The following is a 20917-nucleotide window of genomic DNA, read 5'->3' as shown; positions in this document are numbered from 1 at the left end:
CTGCATCCAGATGGTGAGACAGCAGACCCCTCAACCATCATAACTGACTAACCAACCACTTGCTTCTTGTTGACCTACTCCTCTTCCTTATCCCTCCCTAATTCCTGTTTTGGCACACATAGTTACATTCTTTCCCCACTCTACAAAACTCTAATTTTAGTCAGGTGGATTTGAGACTTATCTCCCATCTCCTGGCTGACATCATCCACATTAAAACCTTCTTCCCTAGCAATACTCGTTGTTTCAATGGATAGCTTTCGATACAGTGAGAAACCACAGCTTGGCCAACACCCAGGCATTCAGCAATAAAATTCTGGTGCTGTGACTTGGATTGCAGTGCTTGTGGCTCAGTGGCCACAGGCTAGAGAGATCTGGAAACCCTCCCAGCAGCTGCCCAGCTATATTCATCCAGAGGCGGGTTTTTGTTTCTCTCTCTTCCCTCACTGCTGCTGGCCCCAACCATATTCTTGATTACTTATGAAGGACAGGCTTTGAAATTTGACATCTGTATCCATCAAGGTGAGTGTCTTTTATGGGTACTAGACAGTGGGAGCTACTCCTCAATTTGGGGAATTCCAAAGGAATTTCCATTTTTTTGCAGGTTGGAAAAGCCCAATTGACTGGCATGAGAGTAAAAAACACCCCAACTGTTTGAGTTTGAACTCTCGTGGCTTGTTAGTCACTGCTGCAGTTAGATTGTATTTTGATAATTGTTTATTTGCTTATGTGTGTGTGTGTCAATGTGATCAAGGGAACACAGGATTTGATCTAGGAATGCCTCCACTTGGGTGCATTCTTCAAAACTGGTCTGAATATAGTTACGAGCCAATGGAATGAAAAGAAAATGATATTCTTTTGTAATGCTGTTTGGCCCCAATATTCTTCGGAATCTAGAGAAGTTTGGCCCTTCCAGGGGTCTTTCTGAGGAATTACATTTGCTGTTTTTTTTTTTTCTTCAAATTGTGAATTTTTTTTTCTTGTATTGTAATTGGCTATGACCATAAGAAGTAATTTATTCTTCAGTCTCAGATATTCATGGATATACTCTCTTTCTTTCATTAGAAATGTTTTTCTGGCAATGAGGAAGTGTTTAGCTGAAGAAGTTCAAAACCCTTTATATAGAGAATTTTATAAGTTTGCAAATATGTTAACAATATTAAGTGTGAAATAGAACTTCTATAAAATAATTAGAACAGAGTTTTACACTTAATGTTTTAAATTGTGGCAGATGGTACTGCTGATTTCAGGGGACTTCCTTGGATTACTCACATTTCTCTGATGTACTTACTACACCTGATGCCAGTTGGCAACAGGCTTCAGTGTCTTTATTTAAAGATTGATACAGCCTTTGATATTTTATTATCACATTCTCAGTGCTCATATTGGGACTTCAATTATTGCTACAGAGCAGTAGTGGTTAAAAATAAGACTTTATGGATTTATTAAAGGAGATTTTCATTGTTGTTTAAGTACATTTTAGATTAGGATTGACAAGTAAATATATTGTTGCAGGATGATACATTATAGTTTCTGCATTGTGTGAAGCTGTTTTTATTGAAAATCAAGTGATGTTTCAGAAGACTTTCTATAACAATTATGCTTCATGCTTAAAATAAAAATTCTTAGTTTAGTTTTAAAAATGTAATTGTTAAATTTCAATCTTATATTCCCAATATTTTCATAAACCTATATTTTGATAAAGTACTGAGTCACCACTTTATATCCACAAATGCAAATAACTAATGTATGAGAATTGAATAATTTTCACTAATTATTGTAAATTCTCCTGCTCTTTAAATGACTAAGAGGTCCAATTTCATGAAAGATTGAAAATAAATTGAATATCTGGGATAATATAGGAGAGGTTGACCAAGGAAGAATTGTAGCTTGGTACCAAGGTTAAAATGACATTTCTCTATTGCCTATCTTTTATGTTAAATTTGATTTCTTTTTCTTTAATTACATTTTTAACTTTGCTGATAGAAATTATGTTCCTGTGTTTCACATGAAAAAGCATATATATACTAGTTAAGTATATTGAGTAAAGCATTTTACAAAGTCATACATTTACAAATTTTTGAGAGGTTAGCCACTAAAATTAATTTCACAAGGGAAAATCCTTTGTTCCACAATATACAGTTTTTCTTCTTAGTTTTGAATTAGAAGTGGCATCTGTTTTAGTTCTTAAAATATAACTTGGCTGTTTCGCACTGTGTCTGAACATTGTTTTCTGTAGGAGTGGGATAGATAATTATATATAGTATCATAATATTCTTTGCATCCATGTGCCAAATAGGAGTAATATTTATTTAATCCTCTTAGATGCCTTATGTTACCCAAACATACAGTAAAAACATAGAAATTTAGGCACTTGTTCTTCAAGTCACCTGCTTGGGTCTCTTCCAGGTATACCTTCCTTTCTTTCCTGTTCTAAAGCCTTTTTAAATAAACCTCCACTCCTGCTCTGAAAAAAAAGTAAAAATTTATGAAATATTTTCTGATAAAAAGTTTATTTTGTGCTTACCCTAGGGAATGCTTTCACAATAGTGTATCATTCCTTTTGTTGGAGTTGGAATTTCTTCTGTTGTCAGCACTTAATTAGTCATGGCAAGTCCTACTTTTAAGACCTTTAGAGATTAGACAACTTTCTGTTTCATTAAGTCTTTTGTTCATTCTAAAAGTTGCCGCGTTACTTAGTTCAGAGGAAATCGGTCATCTTACAAGGGAGGTGATCATCTTTAGGAGGCAGTTTTACTAAGCTACCTTGATACGTGCATGGTAGCAAGTGCTGCACTTTGTCAGCACTCTGGGTCAAAGTATAGGCTAGAGGTAAGGATACTGGCAGACTTAGGGATGCTGGATAGACCTGTAGTTCTTTTAAAGTTTTGTTTTCAAAGGAATTTCCACAATAACACACTCATGTGCATTGATCAGACCAAAACACGTTCCAAATAAAATTCATGAGTGGATTTAAAATGTTTAGATTATTCAATTTCTGTTCCATTACTATTGAACTATATAAACTATTCCATTACTTCAGATATTTAAGTATCAACTTTAGTAAGCTCTTTTTGTTATTGTTTAAAGAAGGTTGCCCATGGATCTTTGCCTAATGTTAAAGCTGATCTTGTTTTTAATCCTCCTTTGAAATCCTTTCTAGCTCTGGGGTGCTTTGAGGGTGATTGGATTAGACTTCGGGATATCATTTCTCAGACTCAGACTTAGTTTTTAGAAATTAAATACACTTTTTTTTAAAAAAAGAAAAATTCTTCTATGCATTCTGGTACCTATATGAACAATACATTTGTTACTATGGCAATGAAGTCAGTAGATTGGAAACCAGTTATTCCTCCTCCCTTTAAAAAATTTGAAAATGTGTTAACAAGTGACTGAAACTGTTACCTTGAACAGAGTCTCCAAAACTAGTCTAGATTTTGCCAAATGTTTACTTTGTATTTAATTCCAGAAGATTCCTCAAGCTCTGCAGTCTAGGGGTGGTAACTGTGTTTCTATTATGCTTGGAGTAAGGTCAGGAGAATGTGCATCCTAAGTAACAGGAACCATTTCTCTTACCCCCCGGACTCCCTATCACTTGAAGATTTTACCTACCCCCAAACATATATAAAACAAATAGAAAATATATTAAGTAGTCCATCTAAGTTTGCTTCCAATAGGCTCCAGGTCCCTACCAATGTGCCTTTCTACTATTTGAAACTGAGGGACCAAGTCCTGCTGAAAACCTGGAAATCCCACCAGGCTGAAGACCAACTGTGACCACAACTGACCACCCACTCATCAGACAAGTTAAGCCATGGATTCACCAAAATTGGGTAAAACTAGTCCCTCAAATATCCCTCCAGAGGAAACAGTCATGGTATTGTGAGCCCTCCTACAACTTTAAATTAATATTCAAAGTCCAGCCAAAGACCTTACATAAGAAATCATAAAGGAACATGTGCTTTCCAGGCTGTTATTGTTCTCTAGATCCTTCCTGATTATAGATGGAAGGATAATTCACTAATTCATATTTCACAAGCTATTGCTTCATAAGCAACCTTATCCCACTGTTGGATATGTGACCCAAAGTTCCAATCTGTTCTGGACCATAATGACTCCTTAATCCAACCAGTTCATGCCTTTTTGCATATCTCTATCTGCACATTTGAACATCCAAAGACTCCTAAAAGAATAGTGTAATGAGTATGCCTTACATGGACCCTTTTAGGGACCAGGAAGACCTCCTGTTTCTATTTGTCATCCCAGAAAGGCTATTCCTTACTCTTCCTAAAATAAATAAATAAAAAGTCAAGCACTTTTTTTCTTTGATGGTGACCCAGACAGAACTCCATTTGATCAGGATATAAGGAATCAGGAAGACTTTTGAGCAGGCTTGGCTTTGTCTGGATTTGGTAATAATCTAACTGATCTCTGGTTAGAAAAGATAGCCTGAATGACTGCTTCTGCCCAAGATACAGTGACCTGTGCTCCTGAGGGCTACATGTTTGTTTGCAAACAAGAGAATAGGCCTTGGGCATATAGATGCCTAGGAAAGGAGACAAAGGGCACTGTCTATTAGGATACTCTGTCACCCCTTTTACAGTAGATAATGAGAGCTTGGTCAGACATTGGACTAGTTCTTTGAAATTATTCTCCAGGGTAACTAGAGGACTCTTGGAGAGAGATCCCAATTAGGGTGTCCCCAAGGAGTATTTGCCTGGGAGCATTCTTGACAGAACCAGATATTTTTTGGTTACACTCCCATGGTGGGGAGTAGCAGCTCATTAACATGTACTTAGAAAGCTCTCCATTACCCTGTGGATTATAGCAAGTGAAACAGTGACTGCTATTGTTGCCCAAAAAAAGTCTCTAGACTCCTTGGCTAGAGTAGTTTTAGATAACCACATAGCTTTGGAGTATTTGCTCACTGAACAAGGCAGGGGTATATGTAATTGCCAATTCATCTTGCTGTACCTACATTAATACATCAGTTGAAGTAGGAGTACATATTGAAGTCTCCCAGTTATAACATGTAAAGGAGAACAGACCTGGATTAGGGGACAGGTTTTCAGGATTCCTTGGTATTTTTAAAGTTGGGTCATCTACGTTATTAATTATCTTGGTTTTACACATCATGCTTAGTCTTATATTTAAATGTGGCTTAAAATGTTGTTCTAAAACTGTTAATGAGAGTACCCAGATCACAGTGCTCCAACAAGCCCAATGCTGACCAGGTACTCATGAGTACTTCAATTACAGACATAGCGTTTTCATTCCTCATTATCCCAACACTCCCTTTCTCAGCATTAAGCAGTCAAAAGATCAACACCAAGATTCCTCATGATTGATGAACCAATAATAGAAAGGGGGGACTAAAACCAGCCCAATTTTCCAATAGAACTAATGTTCAAGATTTTTTGAATAAATATAGAAATTGACTCTCCCCATCATAAAGCTTGAAACTTACATGTGTCTTATCTGAGTTCCTTTGTCAGGAAACTAATCTTCAGGCCTCCCAGATAGTATCAAGGACCTGAAACTCACCAGATAATAGCATCTAGACAGTGAGACACTAAACCCCTCATCCCCTATGATTGCCTAACCAACGATCTGCTTCCTGTTAACCAATTCCTTTTCCTTACTCTCCCTAATTCCTGTTTTCCCTTATGTAGCTACATTCCTTACCCACTACATAAATCCCTATTTTTAGTGGGTTAGGGGGACAGATTTGAGACTTATCTCCCATCTCCTGGCTGATACCACCCATCTTAAAGCCTTCTTCCCTGGCAATATTTGTCGTCTCAATGACTGGCTTTCTTCACAGCAAGCAACTGGACCTTGACCAAACCCCTGTTGTTTGGCAACAATACTAGTTTCTTAATGTCTTTATATAAAGATGAAGTTGAAAAGATAAAATTGAATATAGATTTTAATATTGTATTCTCTCCAAATAAACAAACAAATACTCTAAGAAGTATTAGTGAGCTGCTAATGGAGCTCACTAATAAATAAACAAATACTCTAAGAAGTATTAGTGAGCTGCTATAAATGAAAAAAACAAGATTTAAGCAAGTTACTCAATCATTCTCAAGTTCAGTTTTTTTCTATTTAAAATGGGTGTAACCAAGTTTAGGATGAGTGGGAAAACATGTAAAACCCTCAAAATATGCTCCTTCTAACATTCCACTTATTTCTGCTGAAGCAGGACATTTTCCTGTCCCATTCATGGGACTCACTGCAGTGTTGCCTCATTTACCCAGCCCGCAGCTTTCAACTCCTTGTGGGAGAGAGCATGTGAGAGAAAGAGGCAGGAACTGGAGTCCACGAGTGCTGGAACCAGCTGGCTGCTTCTGCACTGGCAGGAGTTACCTCCACTCACTCAGACCCGCTGCACTCCACCCCTCACAGGAGGCAGCATGCAGGTGAGCGGTTACAGGAGCCAGGGCAAGTGCTTTGCGCACCAGCAGAAGCAAACTCCATGCAGGCCCCATGGCAGCCTCAAGGGGGCTGCCTTTGACCCCTGAAGCCCCAGAATGTGTGTTACAGTGCTCTTTTAGCTCTGGCATCCAAGGACAGCTTAAGTGTTAACAGCTCAGTGGGTCCTCTGCCTTTTCGCATGAGGTGGCTGCCCTCCATCAGCGAGGGCAAAGGGCCAGTGTGATAGCCTTTTGCATCCACACTTGTGGCTCTCAAGCTCTTGTCCAGTGTTCAGGAAAAATGAGGTTGCACGAATGAATTGAAGGATGGTAAATGAACGGGATTTTATTGCTGATGAAAGTGGCTCTCAGTGGGAAGGGGAGTTGAAAAGGAGACAGGGCAGACACATAATCTTTCCCCAAAGTCTGACTGTCTTTGGCCAGATTCTTCTCCAAAGTTACACTGTCAAGCTGTCCCTCTGAAGTCAAGCCACTTCTCTCTGATATCCAGCCCAACATCCCACCGCTTCTCCTCTCTGCTGGCTGAGTCTGGGGTCTTTACAGGCAGAGGATGGAGGGCAGGGTGGGCCATGGGTGGTTTAGGAAAAGGCAACATTTGAATGGGAAAACAAGGATGTAGGTTCTCATTTTGGGCCACAGTTTCAGGCCTTTGGCTTGAGGGTGGGGTTTTGTCAGGGACCTGCCTCTTCTGCCTAGAATTACTCTGCCTCCTGTCCCTATCACTGGTACAACCAGTGTGTATGTACAAAATATTATGATGGAGAAATACAAACCTTGAAGCTATGATGTCCTGGTGTGATCCCTGATCCATCCTTTACAAGTGATGTGATAATGGGCAAGTTACTGAACTTTTCAGGGCCTCGATGAGTGGTGGTAATTTTAAAGGAGGTGACAGTATAGAATGTTTAGAACAGTACTTTGTACAAAGTAGGAATTCTGCAGATGTTAGCTTGCACCCTTCTTAATGGACATTCATATAATGTGAAATCAGGTATTTATCCCAATGAGTGAGCATGCAGCATATCGAGGAGAGGCTTCTACTGATGCATCTCTTCAAAAACAATACCCACTTTCTAAATAAAATTAAAAATAACAACAACAAAATTATATTGATTCATTTTAACTCATTTTAGTGAAGGTGACATTGGAGCCTGTGTACTGGGGAAGTAAAGAAACACTTAAAAACAAAATGGGGTTGGGGGTGGGGAGGGATGCACAGGTGGACCACAGACGAACTTAGGGCAGTGAAATTACTCTTTATGATACTCTAATTATGGGTACATGTTATTATAAATTTGTCTAAACCCATAGAGTGTACAACATGAAGAGTAAGCTCTAATGTAAACTTTGGATTTGGGGAGATAATGATGTGTCAATGTAAGTTCATCAGTTGTGACAAAAGTACTCTCTGATGGGGATGTTAATAATGGGGCAGGATGTGCATATGTGGATGCAGGGGGTATATGGGAAATCTCTGTATCTTTCACTCCATTTTGCTGTGAACCTAAACCTGCTCTAAAAACTAAAATCTATTTAAAAATGGAAATAAAAGATGCCCCCTTTTTTTTCTATACCCACAAAATACTTATGACACCAAATGTATGGGGTTTTTCCTTACATCAAGCAATTCTCCAACAGTCTGGATATCAATTGAGTGTCCTACAATTCAATTATGATCCTTAATACTGGGAGTTTAGGCAAACTCCACAGGTTATAGGCTTCGTCCACAAGTCTGCCCCTAGCCCACTGCAGATGCCAATTGCTGGTAGAGTGTCCTCAGGTTTCCCACAACTTCTGTCCTGTCCGGAGGATCCCGCACTCCCTCCTCAGGTTTGATAATTTGCTAGAATGATTCACAGAACTCAGGAAAACACTTTACTTACTATTACTGGTTTATTATAAAGGATACAACCCAGGAACAGCCAAATGGAATAGATGCCCAAGACAAGGTATTGAGGGCAGTGGTGCATGGAGCTTCCATGCCCTCTTCGGGTATACCACTTTCCCAGAACCTGCATGTGTTCACAAACCTGGATGCTGTCTTAACCCCATCATTTAGTGTTTTCATGGAGGCCTCATTATATAGGCAGTTGAGTAAATCATTGACCCTTGGTGACTGAGTCAATCTCTAGCCCCTCTATCCTCCCTGGAGGTTGAGAGTTTGGGCTGAAAGTTCCGATCCTCTAATCACTTGGTTGGTTCCTCTGGCAAACCAGCCCCCATCCTTCAAGACTCACCTTATTAGCATAAACTCAGGTATGGTTGAAAGGGGCTTACCATAAATAACAAAAGATGTTCCTCTCATCCCTAACACTCAGGAAATTCCAAGGCATTTAGAAGCTCTATGCCAGAAACCAGGGACAAAGATCAACTATATATTTTAATTATATCACAATATCATATGAAATGTAATAATTTCAATGGAAACAAAGAGGCTTGAACCCCAGTAAGAAGATATATAGACAAAGCACCAAACCCCTAGTTTTCCTAGTGACTAATCCAGTACTCTTTCCTCTCAGCTGTCCAATAGCGCATACATTCTGATTTGCATGGTGTTCTTGTATCACATGCTACACATTTATCAGCTCGCTGTATTTATGACAAACAATACTTTACATGATTCATCTTCCCTCCCTCTCCAGGGTTTGCTATTTGTTCCAGACTGCTGGTTCCCCAGGCCTCTCTGACATTACACCAGATCTTTTCAAGCCTAAATCTTCTTTCTGTTGTTCATTAATTTTACTGATTCCTTACTCAATATCCTAGTGGGAAAATGTGCTCCTTTATGCACAGGACCATCTTTAAGTTACTGAGATTATGATCAAGGGGCATTACTATCAAAGAAGATAATTTTTCTTCTTCCACAGCAACTTCATCAGTCGTGTTAAATCATTTCATTTATGAAAATGGGCCTTAAAATTAAACAAGTAATTGTCTTTTCCTATCTCCACCTTATTTATGCTCCTTTTGTCCCTCTAGCTATTTTCCACATCTCTACTTTTATCTCTCTCTCTGTTCCTTGCTGACAACTGGAAGAAGTTTAAGTGATTTGAAATTTCCTTGCTGACAGCTAGAAGTAATTTAAATGATTTGAAGTTAATTGGTGACTACTCTGTTTGACAGAGTATATTGAATTATTCTTTCCTTTTACCAATTCTGGCATATTAAATTAATGCTAGACCACAGTCCCTTATCTTTCTGCTTTGAAGAGTTCAAGTGCAAAAGCAGATAATTTTATTACAAAAATGGAAATTATAACCAAACACAATGATCCACTATGGCCGTTTTGTTAATAGTCTTGTTAAAAATATGTAATAGTGTACTCGGGAGGCTGAGGCAGGAGAATGGCGTGAACCTGGAAGGCAGAGCTTGCGGTGAGCCGAGATCACGCCACTGCACTCCTGCCTGGGAGACAGAGCAAGACTCCATTCCAAAAAAAAAAAAAAAAAAAAAAAAATTACTGGAAACTTTAAACATAAAAAAACTAGTTTTTTAGGTCTTCTGCTATAATAATACTATATCTAAAAAATAACAATTCAAATTATTCTGCTATATTAACCTATAAGTCAATCTTATCTGGACAGTTTGGCATATAGGAAGCACTCAACTATAGAACAAATGAGTAGGACATGGCAAAAACAGAAAAAAAAAAAAAAAAAAGCATTTTTCTTTTTTGAGATAGGGTTTTGCTCTGTTGTCCAGGATAGAGTTCAGTGGCCCAATCATAGCTCATTGCTGTCCTGAACTCCTGGGCTCAAGTGATCCTCCCACCTCAGCCTCCCAAGCAGCTGGAACTACAGGCACCCATTGCCGCACTCACCTAATTATTTAATTTTCTGTAGAGACAGGGTCTTGCTATGTTGCCCAGTCTGGTTTTGAACTCATGGCTTCAAGTGACTCCCTTCTGTGGCTTCCCACAGTACTGGGATTACAGGCATGAGCCACTATACCCAGGCCTGTACTTGATTAGATTGATGCAGTCTCCTTACTGGATGCACTAAATTTCCTGTCTGATATGGTTTAGCTGTGTCCCCATCCAAATCTCACCTTGAATTGTAGCTTCCATAATCCCCATATGTCATGGGAGGGACATGGGGTGGGAGGTAATTGAATCATTGGGGGTGGGTTTTTGTGTGCTGTTCTTGTGGTAGTGAATACGTCTCATGAGATCTGATGATCTTATTGATTGATTGAGATGGAGTCTCACTCTTGTCACACAGACCGGAGTGCAGTGGTGTGATCTTGGCTCACTGCAACCTCCACCTCCTGGGTTCAAGCAATTTTCCTGCCACCACACCCAGCTTATTTTTGTATTTGTTTTAGTAGAGACAGGGTTTCACCATGTTGGCCAAGCTAGTCTCAAACTCCTTACCTCAAGTGATCCGCCCACCTCAGCCTCCCAAAGTGCTGGGATTACAGACATGAGCCATTGCACTTGGACTGATCTGATGGTTTTATAAAGGGCAGTTCCCTGCACAAGCTGTCTTGCCTGCTACCATGTAAGAAGTGCCTTTGCTCCTCCTTTGCCTTCTGCCATGATTGTGAGGCCTCCCTAACCATGTGGAACTGTGAGTACATTAAACCTCTTTTTCTTCATAAATTACCCAGTCTTGGGTATTTCTTTATTAGTAGTGTGAAAATGAACTAACACAATAAATTGGTACCCAGTAGTGGGGTGCTGCTGTAAAGATACCCAAAAATGTGGAAGTGACTTTGGAACTGGGGAACAGGCAGAAGTTGTAAGAGTTTGGATGGCTCAGAGGAAGACAGGAAAATGTGGGAAAGTTTGGAATTTCCCAAACTAGAGAGTTGTTGAATGGCTTTTCTCAAAATGCTGATAGTGATATGGACAGTAAGTCCAGGCTGAGGTGGTCTTAGAGGGAGATGAGGAACTTGCTGGGAACTGTAGCAAAGGTGACTCTTATTATGCTTTAGCAAATAGACTGCTGGCATTTTGCCCCTGCCCTAGAGATATGTGGAATTTTGAACTTGAGAGAGATGATTTAGGGTATCTGATGGAGAAATTTCTAAGGAGCAAAGCATTCAAGAGGAAGCAAACCATAAAAGTTTGGAAAATTTGCAGCCTGACAATGCAATAGAAAAGACAAACCCATTTTCTGGGGAGAAATTCAAGCCTGCTACAGAAATTTGCATAAGTAACAAGGAGCCAAATGTTAATCACCAAGACAATGGGAAAAATGTTTCCAGGGCATGTCAGAGAATTTTGCGGCAGCCCCTCCCATCACAGGCCTGGAGGCCAAGGCGAAAAAAATGGTACTGTGGGCTGGACCCAGAGGCCCCTGCTGTGTGCAGCCTACGGACTTGGTGTTCTGTGTCCCAGCTGCTCCAGCTGTGGCTAAAAGGGGCCAAGATACAGTTCATGCCATGGCTTTTGAGGGTGCAAGCCCCAAGCCTTGGTGGCTTACATGTGGTGTTGGGCCTGTGGGTGCAGAGAAGTCAAGAACTGAGGTTTGGGATCCTCTGCCTAGATTTCAGAAGAGGTAAGAAAACACCTGGATGTCTAGGCAGAAGTTTGCTGCAGGAGCAGAGCCCTCATAGAGAACTTCTGCTAGGGCAGTGCACAAGAGAAATGTGGGGTTGTAGCCCCCACACAAAGTCCCCACCTGAGGCACTGCCTAGTGGAGCTGTGAGAAGAGGGCCACCATCCTCCAGACCCCAGAATGGTAAATCCACCAACAGCTTACACTGTGCACCTGGAAAAGCTACAGACAATGCCAGCCCCTGAAGGCAGCTGGGAGGGGGCTGTACCCTGCAAAGCCACAGGGGCAGAGCTGCCCAAGACCATGGGAAACCCCCTCTTGGATCAGCGTGACCTGGATGTGAGACACAGAGTCAAAGGAGATCAGTTTGGAACTTTAAGATTTAATGACTGCCATATTGGATTTGAACTTGCATGGGGCCTGTGGCCCCTTTGTTTTGGCCAATTTCTCCCATTTGAAATGGGTATACTTACCCAATGCCTGTACCCCCATTTTATCTAGGAAGTAACTAACTTGCTTTTCATTTTACAGGCTCATAGGTGGAAGGGACTTGTCTTGTCTCAGATGAGACTTTGGACTTGAGCTTTTGAATTAATACTGGAATGAGTTAAGACTTTGGGGGACTGTTGGAAGGGTACCATTGTGTTTTAAAATGTGGGAACATTAGATTTGAGAGGGGCCAGGGCACAATGATATGGTTTGGCTGTGTCCCCACCCAAATCTCATCTTGAATTGTAGCTCCCATAATCCCCATATGTCATGGGAGGGATCCAGGGTGGGAGGTAATTGAATCATTGGGGGCAGGTTTTTCCCATGCTGTTCTCATGATACTGAATAGTCTTGCGATCTGATGGTTTTATAAAGGGGAGTTCCCCTGCACATGCTTTCTTGCGTAATGCCATGTAAGACATGACTTGCTCCTCTTTTGCCTTCTGCCATGATTGTGAGGCTTCCCCAGCCTTGTGGAACTGTGAATCCATTAAACCTCTTTTTCTTTATAAATTACCCAGTTTGGGTATTTCTTTATTAGCAGCATGAGAATGGACTAATACACTATCTTAAATCTTTTGCTACAAAAGACTGCAGACCAGTCATAGCTAGTCTCTTACAATAAGAAAACTCTAAAACACTTACTAAGGTAGCTTTTTGAGGCTTGTACAACTATTGCAGTTTTATCTAAACAGAGATCAAGCAAAGTTCATAGATTCAATCTATTATGACATAATTACTGCATTTCCATTTTGATGGCAATAAATGTTATTTTCTGTTTCTACTTGAAGTATCAAGAGCTGCTTTAAGCACATTCACAGTGAAATAATTACTTCTGCAATTTCAATGTTAAACCAAAAGCTATTTTGTTATAAGAAGCCTAGGAAAGTATTAAATACCAGTGACCAAAAGGGTACCTATTGAAATGCAATATTAAAATGCAAGTTGGCAAAATTGGTAAAGTCAGTTTGGTTCGGAAAGGTAATCTTGTGTAACTCACTTTAAAATCAAACACCATCTCAGCTGTGTTCGGCATTACATTAAAGCTGGCATGAAGGTAATTAGGTATCATTTGTGGTAATTAAGGATATGCCACTTTTTGTTCCTTAGCCCAGCTTGAGCTCTGCTTCAGATAATTTAAGATGTACCAGGTGGCACTTCAGGCTAGAAAACTCTGTGGTCTCCCAGCAACTTAAAGGAAGATGTAAGTATTACTCTGTTGGCTTTCAAAAATCACTCAGAGAAAATCTACTTTTAAAATTAAGAACACAGATGATATTCAAAGAAGAAAAACCACCCTGCTGTTTAAAGCAAAAACCATTCCTCACTTTGGAAAATTTTTTCTATAATTTTTACCTGACTACTGACCTTTGATTTTGCATAAAGGCAAAAAATACAAGTCTCAAAACATTGTTTTTTTGAAAATCAAGTTCAATGAAAGCATTTACACTTTGATTTTTTTCTGGTGACAAATATTACTTGAAAGTTGCATAGCTTTCACTTAATACTGTGTTGTACCTTGAGGTTTAAAATGAAATATTTTCAATTAATGGAACTTACTGTCTATTTATACAAAATACTGCAATCAATGGGAGATGAACCAATACCTACTTTTAAGAGGCTTTATTTTTTTTGAAAACCAAAGATTAAAACCTCTGCAAAAATGAAAACATGAAGTAGCATACTGGGTAGTTCTAATTAGCACAAGTGAAAATAAATAAATACATAATATAAGTATGCATGCTAGGTATTTTAAAAAATATAAACCAAATTCTCTCCATCTGCTTTTACCCCACAGCACCTGCTATTATTTCCTTGTACTGAGTAGGCTGCTGTTATCTTAGAGAAGCAATGACAAGGCAGGCAACAGACAGGAGAGGGATGTGATAATTTTATGTGTCAGCTTGGCTTGGTCACTGTGCCCACACATGTGGTCAAACATTATTCTGGTTGTTTCAGTGAAGGTGTTTTGGATGAGGTAAATATTTAAATCAAAGGAATATGGACAAAGTAGATTGCCCTCTGCAATGTGGGCAAGCCTTATCCAATCAGTTGAAGGCATTACTAGGAAAAAAGACTGACCTTCCATTAGCAACAGGGAATTTTCCAGCAGGTTGCTTTTGGACGTGAACCGGAACATCAGTTCTTCCTTGGTCTTCACCCTGATGACCCACCCTGCAGATTTTAAACTTGCCAGACTTCATAATCGTGTAAACCAATTTCTTACAATAAATCTCTCTTCTTATAGATACACATCCTATTGTTTCTGTTTCTCTAGAGAACTCTGACTCAAACAATGGGCCAAATTTTTAACTTTTCAATTAAAAAAGTCTAGACCCAGGTGTAAGAGAAAAGATTTAGAAGAACGTAGCTCAGTAATAACTAAGTCAAGCCTTTTCATCTCCCAACTGGATAAAGATTCCCTAGAACAAGGGAGAAAGTGAAAGTGAAGAGAGCTTAGATTCAGGTGAATCCGGAGCAGGTGTTATCTATGCTGTTTTCCCCTGTAGGTCAAGCCTGTAAGATGAAAACAGTGGTGGAAATGATGTTGCGGGTGGGAGAGCCCTACAGAAGTTTAGACATAAGGACAGTAGGGAGGATCTGACAATAGGGAGGATCTGTGACCCATCTGCAGATAGAAAGAATGCTCTCTTCCATCAGCCTGGTGGGGAGCAGCAGACATATCTGCATGATATGTCTGGCCAGAAGGACTGAGATAATTTTGAAGAATTACTTGCACTAGAGACTGGTTTGAAAACACTATAGGGACCCTTAGGATCTGAGAGCAGTGGTAACATCACAGAGGGAGCTGGCAGACTTGAAAAGGGCTGGAGGTTAAGAAGAAAGGAGGAAGTGCAGGGACCTACCTCAACTACTAACCAAAGGTCAAGTGGGAATGAAGACACCCCTGCTGATGCATCATGGAGAACTAAGCAGAGAGAAAGAGATGCCTCTCCTCTCTCATGACTTTGCACTAGGTAACACCCCAGATTTGTATACAACCCCAAGGCATGGAGGAAAGTGACCCCAAGTTGACTGAAATTAAATTTCTAACATCTGGTAGGATTAAGACTTAAAATGGAAATTGAGTTACAGGAAAAAAAAAGTTCCATTTTCCTTTTCTACCCACCTGAGTTTCATGATCTGTTATACCTGTAAGGAAAAAGGCAGTATAGAATAGAGGAAAGATGGAGGGATGGATTCAGAAGACATGGGTTCCAAGCTAGCATTCATCAGTCATAATTTTGGGAAGTCCCTTAGCTCTGCTGAACTCAGTTTCCTCAAATGCAAGATGAAGAATTTAGACTAGAAGTTCTCTGCCAGAAGCAAGGATTTTTTCTTTTCCTTGATGTACATTGTCAGTGATCTAAAAATACAAGAGGAAGATCCAGCTTAAAAGGAAGTACTGCTGTCCAAAAATGATACTAGATTTTGCATTTGCACAGTTTCTAGCCCACAGCCAGTGCTCAATAAATATCTGTTTAAGCGAAATGAAGCAAATCTCAGAGTTCAGTGTTGAATTATCTTTGGGATCTTGCCACCTACTTTGTCTCACTGTTCTGGCGGATGAGCGTATAATAGTCAGTTGTCTCTAACAATAGACAATACAGCCAAGGAAAAGTCAACAAATTCATTCTCTGCTACACGCTAAGCAATATTAAAGATCTTCTATTCATGACCCTGCATATCATAGTTGCTTCAGAACTTAAAGAAAAAGAACAGAAGGAGAAAGCATAAAAAGATCCTTCTCTTTCTTTTGCTAGGGGAGATGTTTACTCGTAACTCTCTTATATATGATGGGGGGAAAGAGACCAGCAATTATACACTCATTCAACCAAAGAAATGGTGTGTGATATGGTTTGGCTGTGTCCTCACCCAAATCTCATCTTGAATTGTAGCTCCCATAATCCCCATGTGCTATGGGAGGGATCCAGTGGGAGGTAATCGAATCACGGGGGTGGGTTTTTCCCCTTCCTGTTTTCATGATAGTGAATAATTTCTTCACAAGATCTGATGGTTTTATAAAGAAGTTCCCCTGCACACACTTTCTTGCCTGCTGCCATGTAGGATGTGCCTTTGCTCCTCCTTTGCCTTCTGCCATGACTGGGAGGCCTCCCCAGCCATGTGGAACTGTGAGTTCATTTTTCTTTATAAATTACCCAGTCTCAGGTATTTCTTCATAGCAGTATGAAAATGGCCTAATACAATGTGAAAGGGACACAGAATAGTGAGGTAAACCTTACATGTTTCCATCTATCCCTACCTGCCACTTTCTGAGGCAACCTTTCTAGAACTTATAATCACGTACCATTAGCACTACCCATAAAGGCCTTAGCAACTTTAGTGAAACTCAAGGCACACACCATAAAAATCATGCATAATGTTCTGACATCCATTAAAACAGACAACAAAGGAAAAATCTCTGGCCATCTAAATGACAGCATTTTCTTGGCAGTTTGTGTTGTTACAGAAAATGCCTTACATTGGAAACGTCTCTGAGTGTGGTCACAAAACTCTAATGGTGCACAATGGCAGGCCAGACAGCCCAGCATTCATTTGAAGAGCAAGGATCTCTGCAGACAAGCTGCTCTAGCAGGCAGCCCACATGAAACAAACAGCTCACAGCAACCAATAAGCCCACCCACACAGCCAGGTCCTTGAAAGCCTGCTGATGATGTTCCCCTGCAGACAGCTTCTATCATGTGAGATGCAGCTTAACCAACCCTCACTCCTACCCTCCACCTATCTTTAAGGAATGAGAAACAATGGAAAATTTCAAAAAAAAGGCAACATCACATCTCTTCGTTAGGCATATAGATTTGTAGTGTATACAACTTCAAGCCCAAAGATGAAAGTTGACCTTTGAGGTTGAAGGTGGATGGACCTTTTAGGAGGCTTCCAATGGTCTATGATGTAATACTCCCCAGGCTCCACCTTTTTATTATTTTCCACCTTTTATTTTAAGTTTAAGGGTACATGTGCAGGATATACAGGTTTGTTATATATGTAAATGTGTGCCATGGTGGTTTACTGCACCAATTATCCCATCACCCAGGCATTAAGCCCAGCATCCATTAGCTTTTATTCCTCATGCTCTTTCTCCTCTCACCCTCACCCTCCCACAGGCCCAGTGTATGCTGTTCCCCACCATGTGTCCATGTGTTCTCATCATGTTGCTCCCACTTATAAATGAGAACATGCAGTATTTGGTTTTCTGTTCCTGTGTTAGTTTGCTAAGGATAATTCAGGGTCCACCTTTTAGAGAACTGCATGGGCTCCTGACTGTTAAAGCCTCCAAATTTTATTTCTCAGGCCTGAGATGCCTCCTCATGCCATTTTCATGCAAGGATTCAGATTGCTTTTCTGTAATTCTCAGAGCTGTCGCCTCCCCATTTTTCATCAAGAGGATTCTTTTCTCTCAATACTGAAACCCAGAATGCTCAGTTCCCCCTTTCCTTGTTGTCCCTGAAAATAAATCCCCAGGTCATTTTCACTGTTGCTGAAGTAAACCCTAAGGAGGAGAGAGGCAGGCAGAGTCCCCAGCAGGTATGACAGTTCTTAGCTTCCTTTCTTAGGTGATACCCACAAGCCTAAGTGGCCTCCAATATTCTCCTATTATTAAAAATGTGAAGTTGCTTTTGACCCTCATGCATCTCGATACTATGTTAATCTCTGTTTTCAAAGAAAACCCATTTTACAAGGTACTATTGCATCTTGAAGACATAGTGAGGGAAAAATTAATTCCTGTCAACTGAAGTGCACATTTCTAAGCCTCTTCAGAAAGGGAGATATTAATCTTGAAGGGCTCTCTGCCCAAGATAGGTCACTTCTATGCACTATTTTCCAATGAACTACCTCAACTACTTGGTCCCTTTTTTTTTTTTATTTTTTTTGAGACAGAGTCTCGCTCTGTCACCTAGGCTGGAGTGCAGTGATGCGATCTCGGCTCACTGCAAGCTCCGCCTCCCAGGTTCACACCATTCTGCTGCCTCAGCCTCCCAAGTACCTGGGACTACAGGCGCCTGCCACCATGCCCGGCTAATTTTTTTTTTGTATTTTTAGTAGAGGCAGGGTTTCACATGTTAGCCAGGATGCTTTCGATCTCCTGACCTCGTGATCCGCCCGCCTCGGCCTCCCAAAGTGCTGGGATTACAGGCGTGAGCCACTGCGCCCGGCTTTGGTCACTTTTTTTTTTTTTTTTTGAATAGATTTACCACTACCATTTTGTTCTTCCTCCTGAAATATTAGATTTCTATTGATTGAAGATATCTGTGTCCCCCACCACAAATAGCAGCAACATCCCCCAAAGAAGAGTTAGGACAATGTGCAGAGAACTAAATGAATGGTCTGGCTTCGCTGGTACTGCAATTTTCCCGTTGTGAACCCAAGAGCCGGCAATGAGCAATGACTGTGCGTTATGTGGTTCTGCACTCTAAGACCGCAGTCAAACAAACCTCATATATTGACATATCACCTCCCCTGGCTAGCAGTCTACACTGCTTTTAAAAATTTGCTCATACGTTTTTACAATTTTCTTGCCAGAAAATATTATTAGCTCCACTTAATATTGAGGGATAGTAAAGCAATAAAAAATTTGCTCGGCCAGGGCCTTCAGAAACAGAATGAAGATTACCACTCTGACAGATTCCAAAGGCAGTGAACAAAGTTGAATTTAGTAAGAAGCTGCATAGAATAACACTTAAGAGCCAGAGTGGCTTGCCTTAGTGCGTACTCTCTGGGCAATGTTGAGAAAGTGACCCAATCTCACTGTGGCTCAGGTTCCTTATGTGCAAAATGTGGTCAATCATAGATCTGTTGTAAAGATTAAGTAAGTTCATGAATGGAAAGTGCTTAGGTCTGGCACATGGTAAACGTTAACCGTTATTATTGTTAGTAATCCATAAATGTTATTATGGAGATTAGGGAGTCTCCCTGACTGTTAAATTTGAATTCTGAAGTCAAGTCACGTCTAACTCAATCCGTGAAGTCAATTCTGTATTGCCTATGCAAACTGAGCCATATATGTTAACCATTATTATTGTTGTTGTTATTATTATTGTTTTGCAACATCAGGGTATTCTTATTCAAAAGCTTTCCAGATCAGAAAGATTTAGGCAAAATCAGAAAGACTAGAGATTCAGATCTTTCAAAATCCAGCTAACATTTTTTAAAGCACAGCTGAAGCACCTCTTACCTGGTTTTGCTGTCTCCAGACTTGTCCTCTCCCACCAATTCTCTTTGCCTTGGGGAGATCTATCTTTTGAAAACATAAACCTAATCCAGTCACTCCCAGGTTTAAGACCCTTCAATGGCTTGGCACTGACCTCAGGATAGAAATTTGATTACCCCACTGATTCTCAAGCCTTTTACAGTTAGGTCCCCTCTTGGCTTTTCTAGCCTCTCTCCACCCTGATTCAGTGCTCTGCGCATGCTGAATGCCCTTCAGCTTCTCTAACATGCCACACTCTCTCTCGTCTACAGGCTTCCATATGTGCTATTCTCTCTGGCTGAAAACATCATCTCTATCTCCATCCTTATTCATACCTCTTCTTAGTAAAACTGTATGGCTTCTCTAAGAGGTCCTGGCTAACCATTAAGATAAGGTTAGCACACCCTGTTCCTCTCAAAGCACTATATCTCCCTGTCATAATTAATCAAGTTATTGCTTGTCTACTTTCTCTGCTAAACTATAAATCCCTTGTTTACCACCACTATATTCCTAGTAGCTGGTACAATAACTTGCACATGGAGAACACCAGGAACTCCTCATTGAAAGGGAATAGCAAGCTCAAGCTCAGTTTGTATAGGCAATACACAACTGACTTCACAAATTGAGTTAGACTTGGGTTGACTTCAGAGTTCAAATTTAACGGTGTCCTCTCTCCCTAATCTCCTGGATCCTCTTCCCAGGAATTCCTAAGAAACTTCACTAGCCTTTTGTGGTAGCCTCTTCCGATATTTAAACTGTTTTTGTTATAGAAAGATAAATATAAAATGATTTATTAAAAGTTGATTAATTATTTGATTTAGAAGTTAAGAGAGAAGATGAGTAGTGGTTCTTTGCTGTTTTGGCACAGAACACTGAAAGCCTGATAAAATGTATCAATCATCCCTTCCCTATTCCTCTCAAAATAAAAATAGGCAATATGCAATAACATTTTATATTTAATTTTATATTAAGTTTCCAGGGGTTGATTTTACCCAGGTTAAGAAATCTTGTGCAAGCAACTTTAAGTAACAAATCAAGGACAGAATTTTCTATGTAGTCTGACTGTGAAAGGGAAATTTCTGACATGGGTTTGGAAATATAGATTATAGCAGCTGACTGTGAAAGGGAGATTTCTGTCATGAGTTTGGAAATATAGATTATAGCAGGTATTTGAATAGAGTTGTTTCATTCAACTTCGTTTTGTTATAACATAGACAAGGGAAAAAATTGATTCCCCACAGAGGCCACTGTTTGTGTGGAGTTTGTATGTTCTCTCCACGTCT

At 40.1% G+C, this 20917-nt stretch overlaps 1 protein-coding gene and 2 long non-coding RNA genes across 4 annotated transcripts in view, besides 1 other annotated feature; 2 read left to right on the top strand and 1 right to left on the bottom strand.

The window, feature by feature from the left end:
• Window positions 1-14679, top strand: part of LOC105375634 (uncharacterized) — a 109088-nt gene extending 94409 nt beyond the window's left edge. The window contains exon 3 of the long non-coding RNA XR_928396.3: window positions 13535-14679. This is a non-coding gene — a long non-coding RNA (uncharacterized LOC105375634). The remainder of the gene's footprint in view (window positions 1-13534) is intronic.
• Window positions 1-20917, bottom strand: part of NECAB1 (N-terminal EF-hand calcium binding protein 1) — a 167619-nt gene that overhangs the window by 99816 nt on the left and 46886 nt on the right. The window lies entirely within an intron of this gene.
• LOC105375635 (uncharacterized) overlaps window positions 241-20917 on the top strand; it is a 52864-nt gene continuing 32187 nt past the window's right edge. The window contains exon 1 of the long non-coding RNA NR_188048.1: window positions 241-519. This is a non-coding gene — a long non-coding RNA (uncharacterized LOC105375635). The remainder of the gene's footprint in view (window positions 520-20917) is intronic.
• Window positions 6482-6551: a silencer, noted in NCBI's record as "silent region_19353". NCBI's record gives its function as "represses an Ori minimal core promoter by ATAC-STARR-seq in GM12878 lymphoblastoid cells {active_cell/tissue: GM12878}" and the evidence as "EXISTENCE:reporter gene assay evidence [ECO:0000049][PMID:35858748]".

Source organism: Homo sapiens, chromosome 8 (genome assembly GCF_000001405.40).
Source record: "Homo sapiens chromosome 8, GRCh38.p14 Primary Assembly".
In the NCBI taxonomy this organism is placed as follows: Eukaryota; Metazoa; Chordata; class Mammalia; order Primates; family Hominidae; genus Homo; species Homo sapiens.
This window is presented reverse-complemented; position numbering and strand designations above follow the sequence as displayed.